This window comes from Homo sapiens, chromosome 16 (genome assembly GCF_000001405.40).
Source record: "Homo sapiens chromosome 16, GRCh38.p14 Primary Assembly".
NCBI lineage: Eukaryota > Metazoa > Chordata > Mammalia > Primates > Hominidae > Homo > Homo sapiens.
Window position 1 is genome coordinate 555,124 of NC_000016.10, and position 14,390 is coordinate 569,513.

The window sequence follows — 14,390 nt, forward strand, 5'->3', positions numbered from 1 at the left end:
GTTGGGGGCTGGGGTGCGGCCGGCGCGGGGTAAGAGGCTGTCACGGGCAGCGTATCGAATGTGAAAGCAATTAAAGCCACCAGCAGTGTTCGCTCCGGGCGGGCCTCGGGCGGCGGGGAGCTGCCAGAACACATCTCACCTCGGTGCCCGCGGACGCCGGCCCTGCTGCTCCGCGACTGCGCCACGTCACACTCCTCCTGTGGGTGGGGGCCGGGCTCGTGCCCGCTCCTGTTTGGCACAGAGCTGGCTCTGTCTAGTCCTGGGGTATCTGGGACCCCCGTTCCTCCCGAGACCCTGCTCCTCTGTCCCTGGCCCCACCCCCACCACCACCCACCTCTCTGGCTTCTGCCACCCCAGTCCTGGGGTGGCCCAGGACAGAGGCCCACAAGAAGGACCCTCCTTCTTGCAGGAGTCCCGCACAGCAGGCAAGGGGTCCGTGCCCACCCCCTCAGCTGCCCAGAGTCCCCACTAGCCCAGCCAGCAGCCTCCTCTCCACTTGAAAGCCCCCGGGAGCAGCTCCCACAGGGAGGTGATGAGGGAAAGGGGGGGCGTCTGCAGAGGACTCAGGGTCCCACAGCACAGACCCTGCCAGGTGTTGGGCCGGGGCCACGTGAGGGGCTGCTGCGGAGGCCTGGAGGAGGCGGCTGGCAGCAGGTAAGGGGAAAAGATGCGAGCGTCCTGCAGGCAGCAGGGAGGATTGGCTGGGCAGGACACACAGCCCTGGCGCGGGGCAGACCTTGGTGGCAGCTGTCGGGGCTGACTCCTTCCCACTGTCACTGCCCGGCCCCCGCCCAGCCCTCCCCTCCCTTCTCTGTGCAGGCCTCTCCCCTCCCCCGCATCTCCTCCTGGGTCTCACCCCCACCAACAGCACCATCTCTCTGGTGTATCTGGTCTGTCCCAGCCCTGTGCCCCCACGGTGCCCTCTCCTGGCCCCTCTTGTTGGCGCTGCTGGCCACAGCCTTCCCGGGGTGGGCAGTGGCAAGTTCTCACTTATGAGGCATCGCTGTCAGAAGCATTTAGTGTACAAATTAGCCGTGGCCTCCTCGCCTCCTTCCACAGCTCTGGGCTCCAGGCTGACTGGGCCGCGGCTCCAGGCCCTCTCCCGCCTGCCCGGGGCGCACTGCTGCCCAGTGTGGACCCCTGGCTGCCTGCCCATGTCCTGGCAGGAGTGCCCGCTCCCCACTGGCCGGCCAGGGCTCCTCTAGGACCCCGACCTAGACCTGGGCAGGGGTGGCCATGGCAGGCCGGGGGTGCTCAGTGAGGTTTTGGGGGGTGGGAGGCCAAGGCCCAGGACCCGGATCTACCCCAACAGTGGCCAGCCCTGGTGCTGAGGGCTATGGGGGGGCTGGACATGGGGCCCCACCACCCCACCTGCCAGTTGGAGGCCCCGCCACCCCGCCCGCCAGCCCGCCTGCCACTCAGGCGGGGAAAATCATCTGTGACAGGCCCAGGAAGGCCAGCCCCGGGGGCCGCAGAGAGACACACACAGCTCCTCTTCCCAACATATGGCTGCTGTCGGCCCCGGGCGCTGCTGGCCAGTGCCAGGCTCGGGAGCCGGTGGGGGCTCGAGCAGCCTCAGCCTCCCGTCCCACCCGCCTGGCTGGCTGCCCCCTCTGTCAGTCTACATCCCAGCCTCCTGGGACGGGGCTCACTCCCACCACAGCAGCTCAGCCCTCCAAGGAGCGTCCTGTACCCTCCTCCGTCCCAGAGGCTCAGGACACACAGAGGGTCAGCCCCGCACCCGGCCCAGGGTGGCCAGTGACCCGGCACGTCTATGAGAGTGTAGTGCATGGGGAAGGGCCCAGCTGGGGTCTTCCAGAGCCGGGAGGCGGGTGGGGAGGGGACTCTCTGGTGTGGACTCTGGGATGGTCAGGGCTGCTGGGGAGGACTATCCCTGGTAGTGCTCGAGCCGGAAGACTCCTGGAGCCCCCATTCAGGCGCCTCCTAACAGGGCCCCCGTTCCCTCAGGTGGATGGACCCAGGGACCCCAGAGCTCCGCAGGCTCTTCGTGTGCCCCCCACACCCTTGGGCCGTTGTCCTGGGCGCTCTGGCCCACTCGGTTGCCCAGCCCCCTCCGTTCTCCCCTGGCACCCCCACTGTGTACCCGCCCATCAAGGCCAGCAGCCTCAGGCTGGTGCCGAGGGCCCTCACGTGTATCCATGACCCCTTCCGCCAAGGCTGGGCTGCCCCTCTCAACCAGGGATCCTCAAGTGGGCAGCAAGGAGGAAGCCCCCAGGAGGCCTATGCTCTGTAGACCTGGGGTTCTTGAAGTGCTCAGGGTGGCCACAGGCCCTGGGGTCCGTTATTGAAAGGACAGACATCAGCTGTGTCCGGACACCTTGCAAGGTACTGACCCCACGTGGGGGCTCCAACCTGCTGCCGCTGGATAGATTGCCCCGGTCTCAGGACCTGCGTGGGGCCTCCAGCCTGGCTGCAGCCCTGACACTGCCCTCACTGTGTGGGTGCAGGCACCCCGGCCCCTGCACCTGTCCTGACACTGGCTGTGTGTCGACACTGAGGGGATGAGACAGGCCTGCCCCCGGGCACTGGCCATGCCGAGCGCTGCCTCCGCTGCCTTCTCTGAGCCCAGCTCTCCGTCCTGCCCGTGAGCCCCCGGCACAGAGTCCCATTGTTAATGGAGGTGACAGGCGGGCAGCCGTGGGCAGACCGGGCAGAAGAGGTTAATGGCCAAAAATGAGCTTCTGGCTGGAGGCAGAAGGAGGGGCCATGGGGTCCCCATCCCACCCTGCACTGGGACTGGCTAAGGAGACATCAGGGCACCCACTAGGACCAGAGCAGAAGTGCCCGGACACTGAGCACCCCACTGCCCATTCTGCAGATGGGGGCCATGGGCCAGAAAGTTGGGGGGGTGGGGGCACAGGTGCCAAAACAGAGTCCCAGTCACTGCCTCAGGAAGCAGAAGCCACCTCTCCAAACCCAAAGTCAGCCCAGTGTGCAAGAGCTGGGACCAAGCAGGTGGGTCATGGCCACAGTGAGGAAGCTGACGTGCCCAGGGGGCCCTGTGGTTGCGGGGTGCTGGCACTGATATCCCGGCCTCGCCTGGCTGTTTGTGATGGGAACAGTCATCTGGGCACCCAGTGTACTGGCCTCACATGCTCCTCACCCCCCACCTCGTGCACGGCTGAATCTCAGGACCCCCACCAGCAGGTGCAGGGCCCCCTCATCCTCCCTGCCAGAGTCCTTCCGGGAGGCCAGAAACACGTCCAAGTTGTGCCCCGGGGCCCCTCTCGAGGCTGCCCCTCTTCTCTTCTCATGCAAACTTCTGCAAAGGCCCATCGGTGGTGAGGGGTGGAGGTGCTCCTTCAGCCTGCTCAGCGCTAGACACGGCCTTGTTCCCCCTCTGGGGCTCCTTGGTCCCCTGAGCTTCACTGGGCTTTATTTCCTGTATGCTGACATCTAGGTGCTCCAAGACCAGGCCTCCCTGCTCCCTACTTTCCTCCCCTGGACAATGGCCAGAGCCTCCAGCCAGTTGGTCTCCTGTGCTGTCAGCTGTGGCCTCTTCCAGACCTTCAAAGGGGTCAGTCTCGGGCTGGCCACTGAGGGACTACTGGTGTCAGGGTGACCTTGGACCCTAGTCTCCCGGGGCAGTGCTCAGCTGAACACGTCCAGAGTAGAGTCTATGTACAGAAGCAGCCGGCCTCCTGGCCCCCGCTCTCCACGGGGCTGCTGGCGTGACGGCAGCCCAAGCTGTCTCCCGGCCCGGAGCTGCCTGCACGGTCAGCTGGTCAGCTGGGCCAGGCCAGGTGGGCAGAGAGAAGGCTGGCATGCTCTGCCATCCACAGCACCCCTCCCAGTCCCCTGCCCCGCCCCAGGGACTTCCCTCAGACGGGCGTGTGCGGCTGTGTCAGGGAAGGTGGCATGGAGGCAGGAGGGAGACAGAGCCCCACGCCCACCCCAGAACCAGGGGCTGTTCCTCATGGACCCTGGGTGTGCTCTACCAGGGGGCTCTGCCAGCAGCCGGACCGGGGCCACGGAGATGCTGCTGAGCTCTCTTCTCTGCCCCATTCGAGGGGTGACACCCAGAAGCCCCGTGGGGTCCTCCCTTCTTCCCCAAGGCACCCCTGACCCCGACCTGAGCTGGGGACAGCCCGGGAGCCTGCGGCTGAGCCTGCAGAGAGCCCCAGGTCCTGGGGAGCTATGTGGGCCGGGCTCCCTGTGCTGTTTCAGAGTCAGCAGGGAGTAGCACACTCCCCTCTGGCTGGAGACCCCGAGACGCCCGCCTACCGCAAGTGTCGGGTTTAGGACGTCTCCCCTGAGCGAAGTCAGGGGCTCTGCCCCAGCCATGCCTGTGTCCGGGAGGGAGCAGGCCGGTCAGGCGAACCTCCCCTAGGCCCCAGCTGAGCAGTGGGGCTCCAGGCCTTTACGTTCTGGCAGCTCAGGGAGCTGCTTGGAACTTGGTGCAGCCCGGGAGGTGGGGCTGGGAGCAGCCCTGGCCCTGCTTCTCTCCTCCACCGCCCCAGGTCCTCTCAGGAGGGGACTCCCGTGGGGAGGGGGTCTTTCAAACAGCAGGGAAGTGCGTGGCCTCGTGGGGCAGCGCTGAGGCACCTCCCACAGGAGCCGGGAGTGAGGGCTGGAGGGGTCCGCATCCAGGAAGGGGGAGGGTGCTGGAGACCAGCCCCAGGTGGAGGCGGTCAGCCGGCAGGGCGGGGTGCGAGGGGCCGGTCCGGGCAGCCTCCGGTTTAGAGGAAAAGAGAACGGAGGGCAGGGCTCGCCCAGGGAGGGCAAGGAAGGGAGCCCGGCTCCGCTGGCTCAGTCCGCGGCACCCCTGTCCCCCAGGACAGCCCCCAGGGGCCCTGGCTCGGGTGGGCCGGCGGCTGTCAGGGGCCAGAGCCCTGATGGATAAGCGCTGACGGCCCCTCTCCCGCGCCCCGCGCCGCTGACACCCATCACGCCGCGGCGGGGACCCGGGAGACCTGGCGGCCTCTGTGCACCCCCGCGGCAGCCTGCGGGCAACGGGGGCGGGAGGCGCCGGGCGCCCCTGACTCGGCCGCACACCTGCGCCGCAGTCCGCTCTCCGTCCGCTGCCTCCCGGGTTCCCGGCCGCTCCACCGCGCGCCCCGAGAGCTGAGCCGGTCCCGGCGCACGAGGCCGGTGAGTGCGCGCCAGGGGGCGGCGGGGGGCGCGCGGGCGGCGGGGGCGCGGGGTTCGGGCCGGGGGCTGCTCCTTCCCTCCCGCCGCGAGCGCGGTCGGAGGTCGCAGCGCCCCCCGGAGCCCGGAGCCCAGGCGCACGCGCGCCCGCCTCTGCCGCCAACTTCGGGAGGTGCGAGCGGCGTCGGGGGGACGCGGGCGGCGGCGGAGGCTGCGGGAGTCGCTGCCGCTCGAGGGACCGCGGACCCGGGAGGTCCGGCTCCCGGCGCCGGGCCTCAGTTTCCCCCACGGGAGCCGCATCCCACCCCCAGAGCCCCAGCGCGTCCGCGGGGTCCGAGTCGCGGCCGGCGCGGGGCGGGGAGGGGCGGGAAGTTTGCGCCCTACACGCGGCCTCGCAGACTTGGCGGCTCCGCTCCCGGCCGGGCGCAGGTAGGAGCGGCGGGAGCCGCGGGGGCGGCCAGTTGGGCGTCGCGGGGCCGGCTGGACGCGGGGCGCGGGGGCAGCGGGTGGCCAGGCGTGTGGGGGGCGCGGGGGGCGGCCGGGTCCCCCCCACCCTCTTCTCGAAGTCCAGGAGCAGCGCGGGGGGAGGGAGGGCCGCCCTCAGGGGCCAGGCGGGGAGGGCAGGGGCCGGGTCTGGGGTCTGGGGCAGACGCCTGACCTCGCGCTCGCCGCACCCGCCTGTGTGGGGCGCCCTGCGTTCCCGGGGGGGGGGGCAGCAGGATCTGCGGGTGGCCGATCAGGGTCCCCGGCTGCTGGGTGCCCCCTCCTGCCCTGTGGGGGTGCCTGTGCCCCCCGTGCCACCGGTTCTCCCCCAGCTCTCCCCCAAACAGGGACAGGTGAGTGGGGCCGGGTGTCGGGGCCTGGCACAGGGCTGCTGGCTGCCCCGGGAGCGATTGCCGGGTCCGGCTGGGACGCGCGTGTGAGTGCGTATGCGTTTGTGTGTGCGTGTGGCTGCTGTCCAGGGGTGTCTTTTGCTCTGTGTACACACACCAGGTGGGTGCCAGCTATCCTCCGGGTCCCCAAGGGGTCAGCAGCTGCTGAGACAGCCCCTTGGACAAGCCCCTGACCCGGGAGCCCCCGGTCCCTGCTGGGAGGCGGGATGGGTTGTGGCATCGGCTGGCACAGCTGTGTGGCTCCCAGGGCTGGGTGATCGATGGCCCGGCACAGCCGCCTCTGTCGCCGGAGCGCCCACACCCATTTGTCATCCACATGGGTGGGGGGGGCGGCGGGCAGGGAGAAGGGGCCGCCTCTGCACCCACCACCCAGTCCAGGCCGGGTCTGCAGCCCCTCGGGGAGCCCCAGGACCTCTCCTGGCCCAGCCCCTGCCTCCCGACCGCCACCCTGTCTCAGCCACAGACCAGCTGGTCAGCCTCTGCCTGCCCCTGCAGCCCGTGACTGCCCTGCAGGGCCCCAAGCCTTTGGACGAGTGGACTTCTCCAGCCCTGTTGGTCGTCCCCCCAACGGCACCAACACAGTGTTTTGGGGGCAGCAGACAGCAGTGCCCCAGCCCTACCCTGCTCAACCCACTGGCCATGCATGACCACGGGTGCGACCCCCAGCCAGGTCTGCGTGTGTCCTGGGGAGTCGGTGTGTAGGGCCTGTGTGAGCATGTGAGTGCCGTGTTGGAGTGGTTTGGAAAGCCCCCCCACACCTGGATGGGTGGTGAGTGTGTTATCACGGACAAGCAGCCGTGTTCACCGTGATGGAGTGTGAGGTGTGTGCAGCCAGGGCCCCGCACTTGGTGGCAGACTCCGTTCTGAGCTTAGGTGGCACAGAGGTGGCTTCTCCGGGCACTGGGTGAGGGCTCTGTGTGAGCCTGTGGGCTGTGTACACACACCCAAAGCCCGTGTGCGCAGGCGTGCTGTGCACCCCACACAGGCGCGTGCTGGGGCGGTGGACAGCCCAGGTGGCGGCCCAGATGGAGTGTGGCGCGCATACCAGCGCCGTGTGGGGCGTGGGGAGGAGCGGGTCTTGGCTGAGTGTGGCCGCTGCAGGCTCGGCCGCTGACCTGCCCGAAGCCACCCAGATGGAGCTGGGCTGAGCAGGTGGCTGAGCCGTGGGGCCATGCTGGGACGTCCACTCCCCACAGCCTGGCCTGGCCCCACATGAGACTGACCCCCTAAGAGACCCCCAGTGCCCACCTGACGCCCTGCTAGAGCAGGCTCTGTGCCGCCTTTAGACACACACGCATACACACGCACTCACACATGCATGCATGCACACATGCACACACAATGCACACACGTGCACATGAACACAAGCATGCACAGAGGCACATGCACACACAGGCGCACACACGTGTGCACACACACGCACATGCACGCACACACACGTGCATGCACACGCACACATGCACACACACAGACACACACAGGCACACACACACACACGCAGCATCATCCCACACAGACCCTTCCGTTGGTGTCTCATCTCAGTGCCTTTTCCTAGGCTTTGAACAGGCAGATTGGCAGGGGCCAGGGTTGCTGGAGGGAATGAGACCAGGAGGCTGACGTCCACCCGAAGTGAGCTCTGGTCACGCTGATTCTTTTAGCCACTCACATGCTGTGGGGAGATGGGTGTGGGCTGAACTATCCTAGAAATTGGCCAGCAAGTCGGCCTGGCCTCAGGGGTGGGGATGTGTGTAGGGTCAACCGATAAAATAAAGGACGCCTAGTTAAAATCGAATTTCCGATAAACAATGAACACCTTTCTAGTGTGCCTTTCCAATATTGCCTAGGCTACACTTAACACTCAGAAATGACGTGCTGCTGATCGGCGTCAGATGCAGCTCGCTGTCCTGGACTTTTTTTTTTTTTTTTGGTGCCCTGGACTTTGCTGCCACCCTGGAAGTGCACGTGGGGAGGAGCCGAAGGATGGGGCTCGGGGGGCACGTTGCAGGGCAGAGGCGGCGGGGTGGGGGGAGCACCCAGGCTCCAGTCCCTGGAGCCTGGGGAGCCATGGATGGAGAGGAGTGGGGAGTTAGTCAGAGGCAGGCTTGGCACTGACTGTGGCCCCATCTACAGGTGGCCATGGTGCCCGGCCCTGCCTCATAGCAGGCTGCCATGTCGCGGGAGGCGGGCTCATGCCGCGTGGGCACAGGGGCGAGGGCGCGGTCTCGGAAGCCCAAGAAGCCACACTACATCCCGCGGCCCTGGGGCAAACCCTACAACTACAAATGCTTCCAGTGCCCCTTCACCTGCCTGGAGAAGTCACACCTCTACAACCACATGAAGTACAGCCTCTGCAAGGACTCCCTGTCCCTGCTGCTAGACTCCCCAGACTGGGCGTGCCGCCGTGGCTCCACCACGCCTAGGCCCCACGCACCCACCCCAGACCGCCCTGGGGAGTCCGACCCCGGCAGGCAACCCCAGGGAGCACGGCCCACAGGTGCTGCCCCCGCGCCTGACCTCGTGGTCGCCGACATCCACTCCCTGCACTGTGGCGGAGGCCCCAAGTCCAGGGCCAAGGGGTCCCCAGGGCCACCACCCCCTGTGGCTAGGGCCACCCGGAAGGGTCCCGGCCCCAGTGGGCTCCTGCCTGAGTCGTGGAAGCCGGGGATGGGAGGGGACCCAAGGGGCGTGGGTGCGGGGGACATGGCCTCAGCAGGCCCTGAGGGCAGCGTCCCCTGCTATCCCCCGCCTGCCCCAGGGGAGTTCCCTGAGGCCCACAGCCTCCACCTGTCTCTGCTGGGCGTCAACTACCCGCTCAGCCCCGGCCTCTTCTCCTACTTGGGGCCCTCACTGGCCGCTGCAGCCCATGTGCCCTTCCTGGCCTCGGCCAGCCCCCTGCTGCCCCCGGCCACGGCCTTCCCAGCCGTGCAGCCCCCTCAGCGCCCCACCCCGGCCCCCCGCCTGTACTACCCGCTGCTTCTGGAGCACACTCTGGGGCTGCCAGCAGGCAAAGCTGCCCTTGCCAAGGCCCCTGTCTCCCCCAGGAGCCCCTCTGGGACTCCGGCTCCTGGCCTGCTGAAGGTGCCAGTTCCAGGGCTGGGGCCCTGGCCCCGAGTCACCCCCAGGGACCCAGGGCAGGAGGGGGAGCTGGAGCGGGCAGCCCAGAGTGACCCCAGGAGGAGGCTGTCCCTGGGAAGCAGGCTGGAGCTTCCGAAGGCATCCCCCAGCCTGACAAGGTTCTGTTCCCGGAGCAGGTGGGCGTCTTGGGCTCCCGGTTCCTGGGGTGGACGGAGGGGCTGGGCGGCTGGGCATGGCGGTTGGGCGGCTGGGCATGGCGGCTGGGGTCCGTCCTGAGCTCAGTCGCTGGGAAAGTGGGCTCCAGGCCACAGAGGGGAACTGAGACCCGAGAGCCAGCGCGGGGGTCCTCGGGGTCTCCAGGAGAGCCTAGGCTCTAGGCTGGGGCCACAGGGCAGAGGCCGTGAGGGGAGAGGGGCAGGGGCCGGGGGCGCTGTGGGGGCAGTGCGGCCTCCTGACCAGCTTCCACCCCACAGCCTGCCCACCGGCTCCTCTGTGATGCTGTGGCCTGAGGACGGGGATCCAGGCGGCCCTGAGACCCCCGGCCCTGAGGGCCCCCTCCCCCTGCAGCCACGGGGCCCAGTGCCAGGAAGCCCGGAGCATGTGGGCGAGGACCTGACCCGAGCCCTCGGTGACTACGCCAGGGTGGAGCAGCGCCTGGGACAGTTGGGGCCCGCGGGGGGCCTGGCCCCGAGACCCCTGCGGGAGCAGCTGGGCAAGATCCGCCTGGAGCTGCTCACCATTCACCAGGCGCTGGAGCAGGCCGTGAGGCCGCCAGACGCACCCCTCGACCTCTCTGTGAAACGTGCGCCCGCCAAGGGGCCCCAGGCTCTTGGAGAGGCGTGGGGGCGGCCCGAGCTGGGTCCCGTGTTGACCGGGGGCACCCCCGAGCCACCCGGCATGCTGGGCCCTGCAGCGCCCCAACCCTTCTCTGGCCACACCACCAAGTGTGAGGCCGACTCCAGCGTCCCACCCCCAGGGCTCCCCCTCGCAGCCCCAGATGACCCTGTCATTCCTGGCAGTGGCTGGGGCACCTGTGTTGCGACGAGGAGTTCCCAGACCCCTGAGGCTGTCTGTGGCCTGCAGAGCCCCCAGGGCGCCGAGGTCTGACCTGCAGCGCCTGAGGTCTGACTGTCTCTGCCTGCAGCATGCCGGCCCCTCTCCTGCAGCCCCTGCCCCTCACCTGCCTGGGACCTGCCCCGCCTCCGCATGCATGTGGATAGACCCCCACGGGCCGTGGCCAACGCTTGTCCCTGGGGCCACACAGGGACACTGGAGGTCACAGTTATTTATTGATCACAATTGTGGACATTAAAACAGAAACTGTTCACACACGCCGTCTGTGCCTCCTTCCTTTGGGGCCCTAGTGTAGCCACCTGGACACCCCCCTAAGGAAGTGTCCTGGCCTGGGAGGCCTGGGTGGGCAGCAGTCCTGCTGGGCCTCTGTCTTCAGACTCGGCCCTCTCCTGTGGGCTGGGCCCTCCCCGCGGGGCTGGGGTCTGGGGGTGGGGCGGGACATCGGCGACGGGAGCTGAGCCAGGAGAGCCGTGTGGACTGGGCTGCTCGGCCTGTGTCTTGGTGTGTCGGGGGTGGAGAGGCGTGTGGACTGGGCTGCTCGGCCTGTGTCTTGGTGTGTCGGGGGTGGGCACGGACCCCTGAACATCCTCTAGCCTCTGAATCCAGCAAGGCCGCGCTCATATCAGCTCTCCTGCGGTTAAACGGTGGCCCCGGGGCTCTGTGGCTGGAGGCTGCTCACCCAGCGTGGGCTCTGCTGGCCCCTGCCAGCCCCTGCAGCCGTGATAGGTATCAGCCTTCACAGCTCACTGCCTCCCTCCCAGCAGGGCCTGGCTTGGCCCTCCCACGGGCAGGGGATGGGCAGACAGGGAGGGGCACCCGGGACCCCCACAGCAAATCACTTCTCTCCTGGGAGAGCTGGCCACACCCTCCACGCCCACCCTGGAATGGGCTCTGGAGCCCACATCGCCCCCCCAGGAGGAGAAGCAGTTCCTGCCTGCGTCCAGCCGGGCTGGGGCCAGTCCAAGCAGGCTGGCAGCGGCCCCATTAACTACCAGGGAGATAGCATCAGCCCCGACCCTGCCTCGGGGCAGCTAGAGCTGGGGTGCTGCCTGGCCAGGCGCGGAGTGCTGTGGGGACAGGTCCCAGCCGGGCCCCTCTACCCAGAGGCTTCCTGGAGGGGCTGCAGGGGGCTCTGGGCAGCCAGGAACTGTTCCCAAGTCCCGAGTCTGAGGGAGACTCCCTGTCCTCAGCCCCCGCCCCCCATATGTCCACTGCACCCCATATGTCCACTGCACCTCAGTTTCTCACCCCCACTGAGCAGACAGGTGAGCATGGCCTTGCTGGGGGCAACAGCACCCGTCTCCCAGGTGTGGAGACACGACCTCCTTCGCTGTCACCCGTGGGGAGCAGGACAGGCCTCATGGAGGGTGCCTCAGCCAGCAGGTCACCCGCCTGTGGTCCAGACCCAAGGACCCTGCTTGGGGGTGGCAGCCTGGGGCTGCCTTGCCACTTGGAGTAATGAACTTGCTGGTTGTGGGGGGACCATGGGGGACCCCTGGAGGGGGGTGGGCTGCATGGCATCTGGCCGTGTAGGGGACGTGGGAATAGTGTCCGGGCAGAGGGCGCAGCCTGCAACAAGGCGCGGAGGCAGGAACACCACAGCATGGGGAGTCCTCAGGGGACCTGGTTTTTCTTTCATAGAAGCTTCAGGGGCCAAGGCCGGAGACTGCACTCTCCCTCCTCCACCCGGCCCAGCTGCGTCCCTGCCAGTGGCTCCTCCCACTTCCTCCAGTTCTAGTTTCCAACAACAGAGGCTGCAGCCACCCAGCCCCGAAGCAGGGCCCAGCGAGACAGGGCCCAGGTAAGAGACCCCTCCCCCCGGCCTCTCTCGGTGGGGCAGGTGGAGGCCCTCGGAATAGGCTGCCTCGCCCCTAAGGGGTCAGAAGTCTCCCTGACCTAGGGGCTCGGGTAGAAGGGCTGTGTGTGGGTGACCGCCCCCCCGCCGTAGAAAGGGGTTCCACAGGCAGATGGATTTGAGAAATGTTGCTTATCTGTCTGAGGCCCATGAGCTCATCTGGGGCTCAGGGGAAAACCCACAGCGAGCTCCACGGGTCATGTGTCTCCCAGACTCAAGTCCCAGGCACCTAGACACTAGGGTGGCCGCTGGGCTTGGTGGCCAGGTAGACCCTCAGGACCAGGAGGACCCGGCCTCATAGGAAGAAACTGGAGGAGTGACTTTGCCATTCCCACACACAGTGGGGCCTTATTCTCTCTCTTGCAGCCCCAAGCGTGACCCAGCTGCAGAGAAGCTGAGACGGTGATTCGGACTGACTGGACTCTGGCCTCCAGGTGTCTGCACCTCACACTGGACCCACCTGGAGACTCCACGGGCTCCCGGCAGCTCCGGCTGCTTGGGTGGATCCGGGTGCCCGCAGGGGCTGTGGGAGGGCCCCGGGGCCTGCACTGCTCCCCCGATGGCCTGCTCTTCCTCACGGCCGGGGCTGCACCCTGTGTCCACGTGCTAGATCTGGAGGGACGCCCCATCTGCCTCCTGCCCTGCCGCACTCCGGGGAGCGGGGCCTTCGTTCCAGAGGACGTGGCTGTGACAGCGTCAGGGCTTGTGGTGGTCAGCGATCCCATCCATGGGGCTGTCCATGCACTCCAGCACACAGCCCGGGACCCCGGGGGCCACTGGGTGACAGTGGGCACCTTCCTGTCTCCCCGAGGGCTGGCTGTGGATGCCCTCAACCGCCTCCTGGTGACGGACTACTTGCCTGGGGCTGTGCACAGCTTCTCGTTGGGTCCTGCTTGGGAGCCCCTGGCCCCAGCCTCCATGCTGGGTCTGGAGGGCCCCTGCTGGGTGGGCCCAGGGCCTGATGGGGGCCTTGCTGTGAGTGAGGAGTTTGGGGATGTGAGGCTGTTTGGCAGTGCCCGCCAACCCCTGGGCTCCCTGGGGGGCTGGACGGGGCACACTTTCGGCTGCCCAGCGGGCATCTGCTCCAACTCAGAGGGCAATGTTATTGTGGCAGACGAGCAGAGGCGCCAGGTGACCCTGTTTCCCCGGGCTGGGCCACCCATCTGCCTGGTGTCAGAGGGGCTTGGGCAGCCCTTGGGAGTGGCCTGTGCACCCCAGGGCCAGCTCCTGGTGGCTGATGCCAAGGACAACTCCATCAAGGTGTACCAGGGCCTCAAGGAGCTGGCCTGACCTGAGGCTGGGTTGGAGCAGCCCTCCTGTGCCTGAGGCCAGCTCCCAGGCCCTTGGATCACCGCGGGAGGAACCCTCAGGATGGGTGGAGCCTCCAGGCTATGGGCATTGCCTGCCTGATGCCAGCACCACCTGGGCTGGGCCCTGGGCTTGGCTCGAGTTCTCCTGCTGGTGAGGCTCCGGATCTCAGGAGCAGCCCTGAGTCTGCTTCCCAGGCTGCCCCTGCCAGGCCTGCAGCCTCCCCAGCCAGGGCTGCTCTCTGCTGTCCCCATTCAGTGCCCTGGCCCCTGCATTCATGCCCCCCACACCCCCTCAGGCCCTGTGCCTGGACTTTGGGGCTGGCAGCTGAAGCCTTGAGATCCTGGGCCAGCTGCCGGCACACAGCTAGGCAGACTCTCCCACCAGGTGCCCCTGCCCAGGCCTCCTAATCGGGGGCAGACAGGCAGGGAGGGTGTGGCTGGGCTGGGCTGGGCGGGGCGGCCTGGGGCAGGGGTGTGGCCCCTAAATGTCCCCAACCTCAGAGGGACCTAGAGTCCTGAGCCTCCAGTAGCTTCTCTGGGCCTGGCAGAGGTAAGGGGGAGGCAACCCTGGAGTGTCTGGAGGCCCATGGCTGGCTGAACCCTGGATGCCTTTTCTTCCGCGTCCCCATGAATGAAAGCTGTCTGGGCCTTCATTCTGCAGACAGGGACAAACAGCTCCATGCTGTTTGTCCTCCCAGTGCAGCCGTGCTGGGAGGGTCTGGGGGAGCTTCCTACAAGGAGAGACTCCTGCTGCTTTGGAAAACTGAGAAAAAATAGGGGTCTAACCCTCTCCTCCCATTTTACAAGTGGGGAAATGAGGCGTGAAAGGAGAGGCGTCTGGGTTACTCCGTGGGTCTGGGGTCCAGGGAAGGGCCTGTATGGGGGAGGGAGCTGGGAGGGGACGGTGTCTGGCTCTACCCCTGTGGGGTGGGGAGGTGGGGCTCCCCTGTATCACAGGACATCCCCCCTGAGAGGTCCCTCATATGTCTGGGTCCTGTGGGTGGGGGACTAACTGCGCAATGTAGTTAGGTGCTCAATAAACGGAGTTGCCGCTGAGGTCTGGGCTGGGGTCTT

General features: G+C 67.5%; 2 protein-coding genes across 6 annotated transcripts, besides 5 other annotated features; both read left to right on the top strand.

Moving 5' to 3' along the window:
- The first annotated feature begins 4,690 nt into the window (after positions 1–4,690).
- Positions 4,691–10,406, top strand: PRR35 (proline rich 35). Of its 4 annotated transcripts, none has more exons than XM_017022960.3 (4): positions 5,774–6,672; positions 7,558–7,631; positions 8,133–9,253; positions 9,551–10,406. In XM_017022960.3, the coding sequence occupies exons 3-4, from the start codon at positions 8,172–8,174 to the stop codon at positions 10,182–10,184; spliced, it is 1,716 nt and encodes a 571-aa protein (XP_016878449.1). In that variant the 5' UTR covers positions 5,774–6,672; positions 7,558–7,631; positions 8,133–8,171; the 3' UTR covers positions 10,185–10,406. The 4 variants fall into 4 exon arrangements, with proteins under 4 accessions (XP_016878448.1, NP_660313.1, XP_016878449.1 ...); XM_017022961.1 differs by lacking the exon at positions 5,774–6,672 and having other exon boundaries at positions 7,447–7,631; positions 8,133–8,341; positions 9,044–9,253; XM_017022959.3 differs by lacking the exons at positions 5,774–6,672; positions 7,558–7,631 and adding an exon at positions 4,691–5,112.
- Positions 5,395–5,941: an enhancer, noted in NCBI's record as "H3K4me1 hESC enhancer chr16:610518-611064 (GRCh37/hg19 assembly coordinates)". NCBI's record gives its function as "activates a minimal SCP1, AML or CMV promoter by ChIP-STARR-seq in naive H9 embryonic stem cells {active_cell/tissue: H9 hESC(naive)}" and the evidence as "EXISTENCE:reporter gene assay evidence [ECO:0000049][PMID:30033119]".
- Positions 5,942–6,487: an enhancer, noted in NCBI's record as "H3K4me1 hESC enhancer chr16:611065-611610 (GRCh37/hg19 assembly coordinates)". NCBI's record gives its function as "activates a minimal SCP1, AML or CMV promoter by ChIP-STARR-seq in naive H9 embryonic stem cells {active_cell/tissue: H9 hESC(naive)}" and the evidence as "EXISTENCE:reporter gene assay evidence [ECO:0000049][PMID:30033119]".
- Positions 9,521–10,417: an enhancer, noted in NCBI's record as "H3K27ac-H3K4me1 hESC enhancer chr16:614644-615540 (GRCh37/hg19 assembly coordinates)". NCBI's record gives its function as "activates a minimal SCP1, AML or CMV promoter by ChIP-STARR-seq in naive H9 embryonic stem cells {active_cell/tissue: H9 hESC(naive)}" and the evidence as "EXISTENCE:reporter gene assay evidence [ECO:0000049][PMID:30033119]".
- Positions 11,313–12,208: an enhancer, noted in NCBI's record as "H3K27ac-H3K4me1 hESC enhancer chr16:616436-617331 (GRCh37/hg19 assembly coordinates)". NCBI's record gives its function as "activates a minimal SCP1, AML or CMV promoter by ChIP-STARR-seq in primed H9 embryonic stem cells {active_cell/tissue: H9 hESC(primed)}" and the evidence as "EXISTENCE:reporter gene assay evidence [ECO:0000049][PMID:30033119]".
- Positions 11,882–14,372, top strand: NHLRC4 (NHL repeat containing 4). Of its 2 annotated transcripts, none has more exons than NM_001301159.2 (2): positions 11,882–11,952; positions 12,348–14,372. In NM_001301159.2, the coding sequence occupies exon 2, from the start codon at positions 12,925–12,927 to the stop codon at positions 13,294–13,296; it is 372 nt and encodes a 123-aa protein (NP_001288088.1). In that variant the 5' UTR covers positions 11,882–11,952; positions 12,348–12,924; the 3' UTR covers positions 13,297–14,372. The 2 variants fall into 2 exon arrangements, with proteins under 2 accessions (NP_001288088.1, NP_788850.1); NM_176677.3 differs by having other exon boundaries at positions 12,373–14,372.
- Positions 12,157–12,206: an enhancer, noted in NCBI's record as "active region_10206". NCBI's record gives its function as "activates an Ori minimal core promoter by ATAC-STARR-seq in GM12878 lymphoblastoid cells {active_cell/tissue: GM12878}" and the evidence as "EXISTENCE:reporter gene assay evidence [ECO:0000049][PMID:35858748]".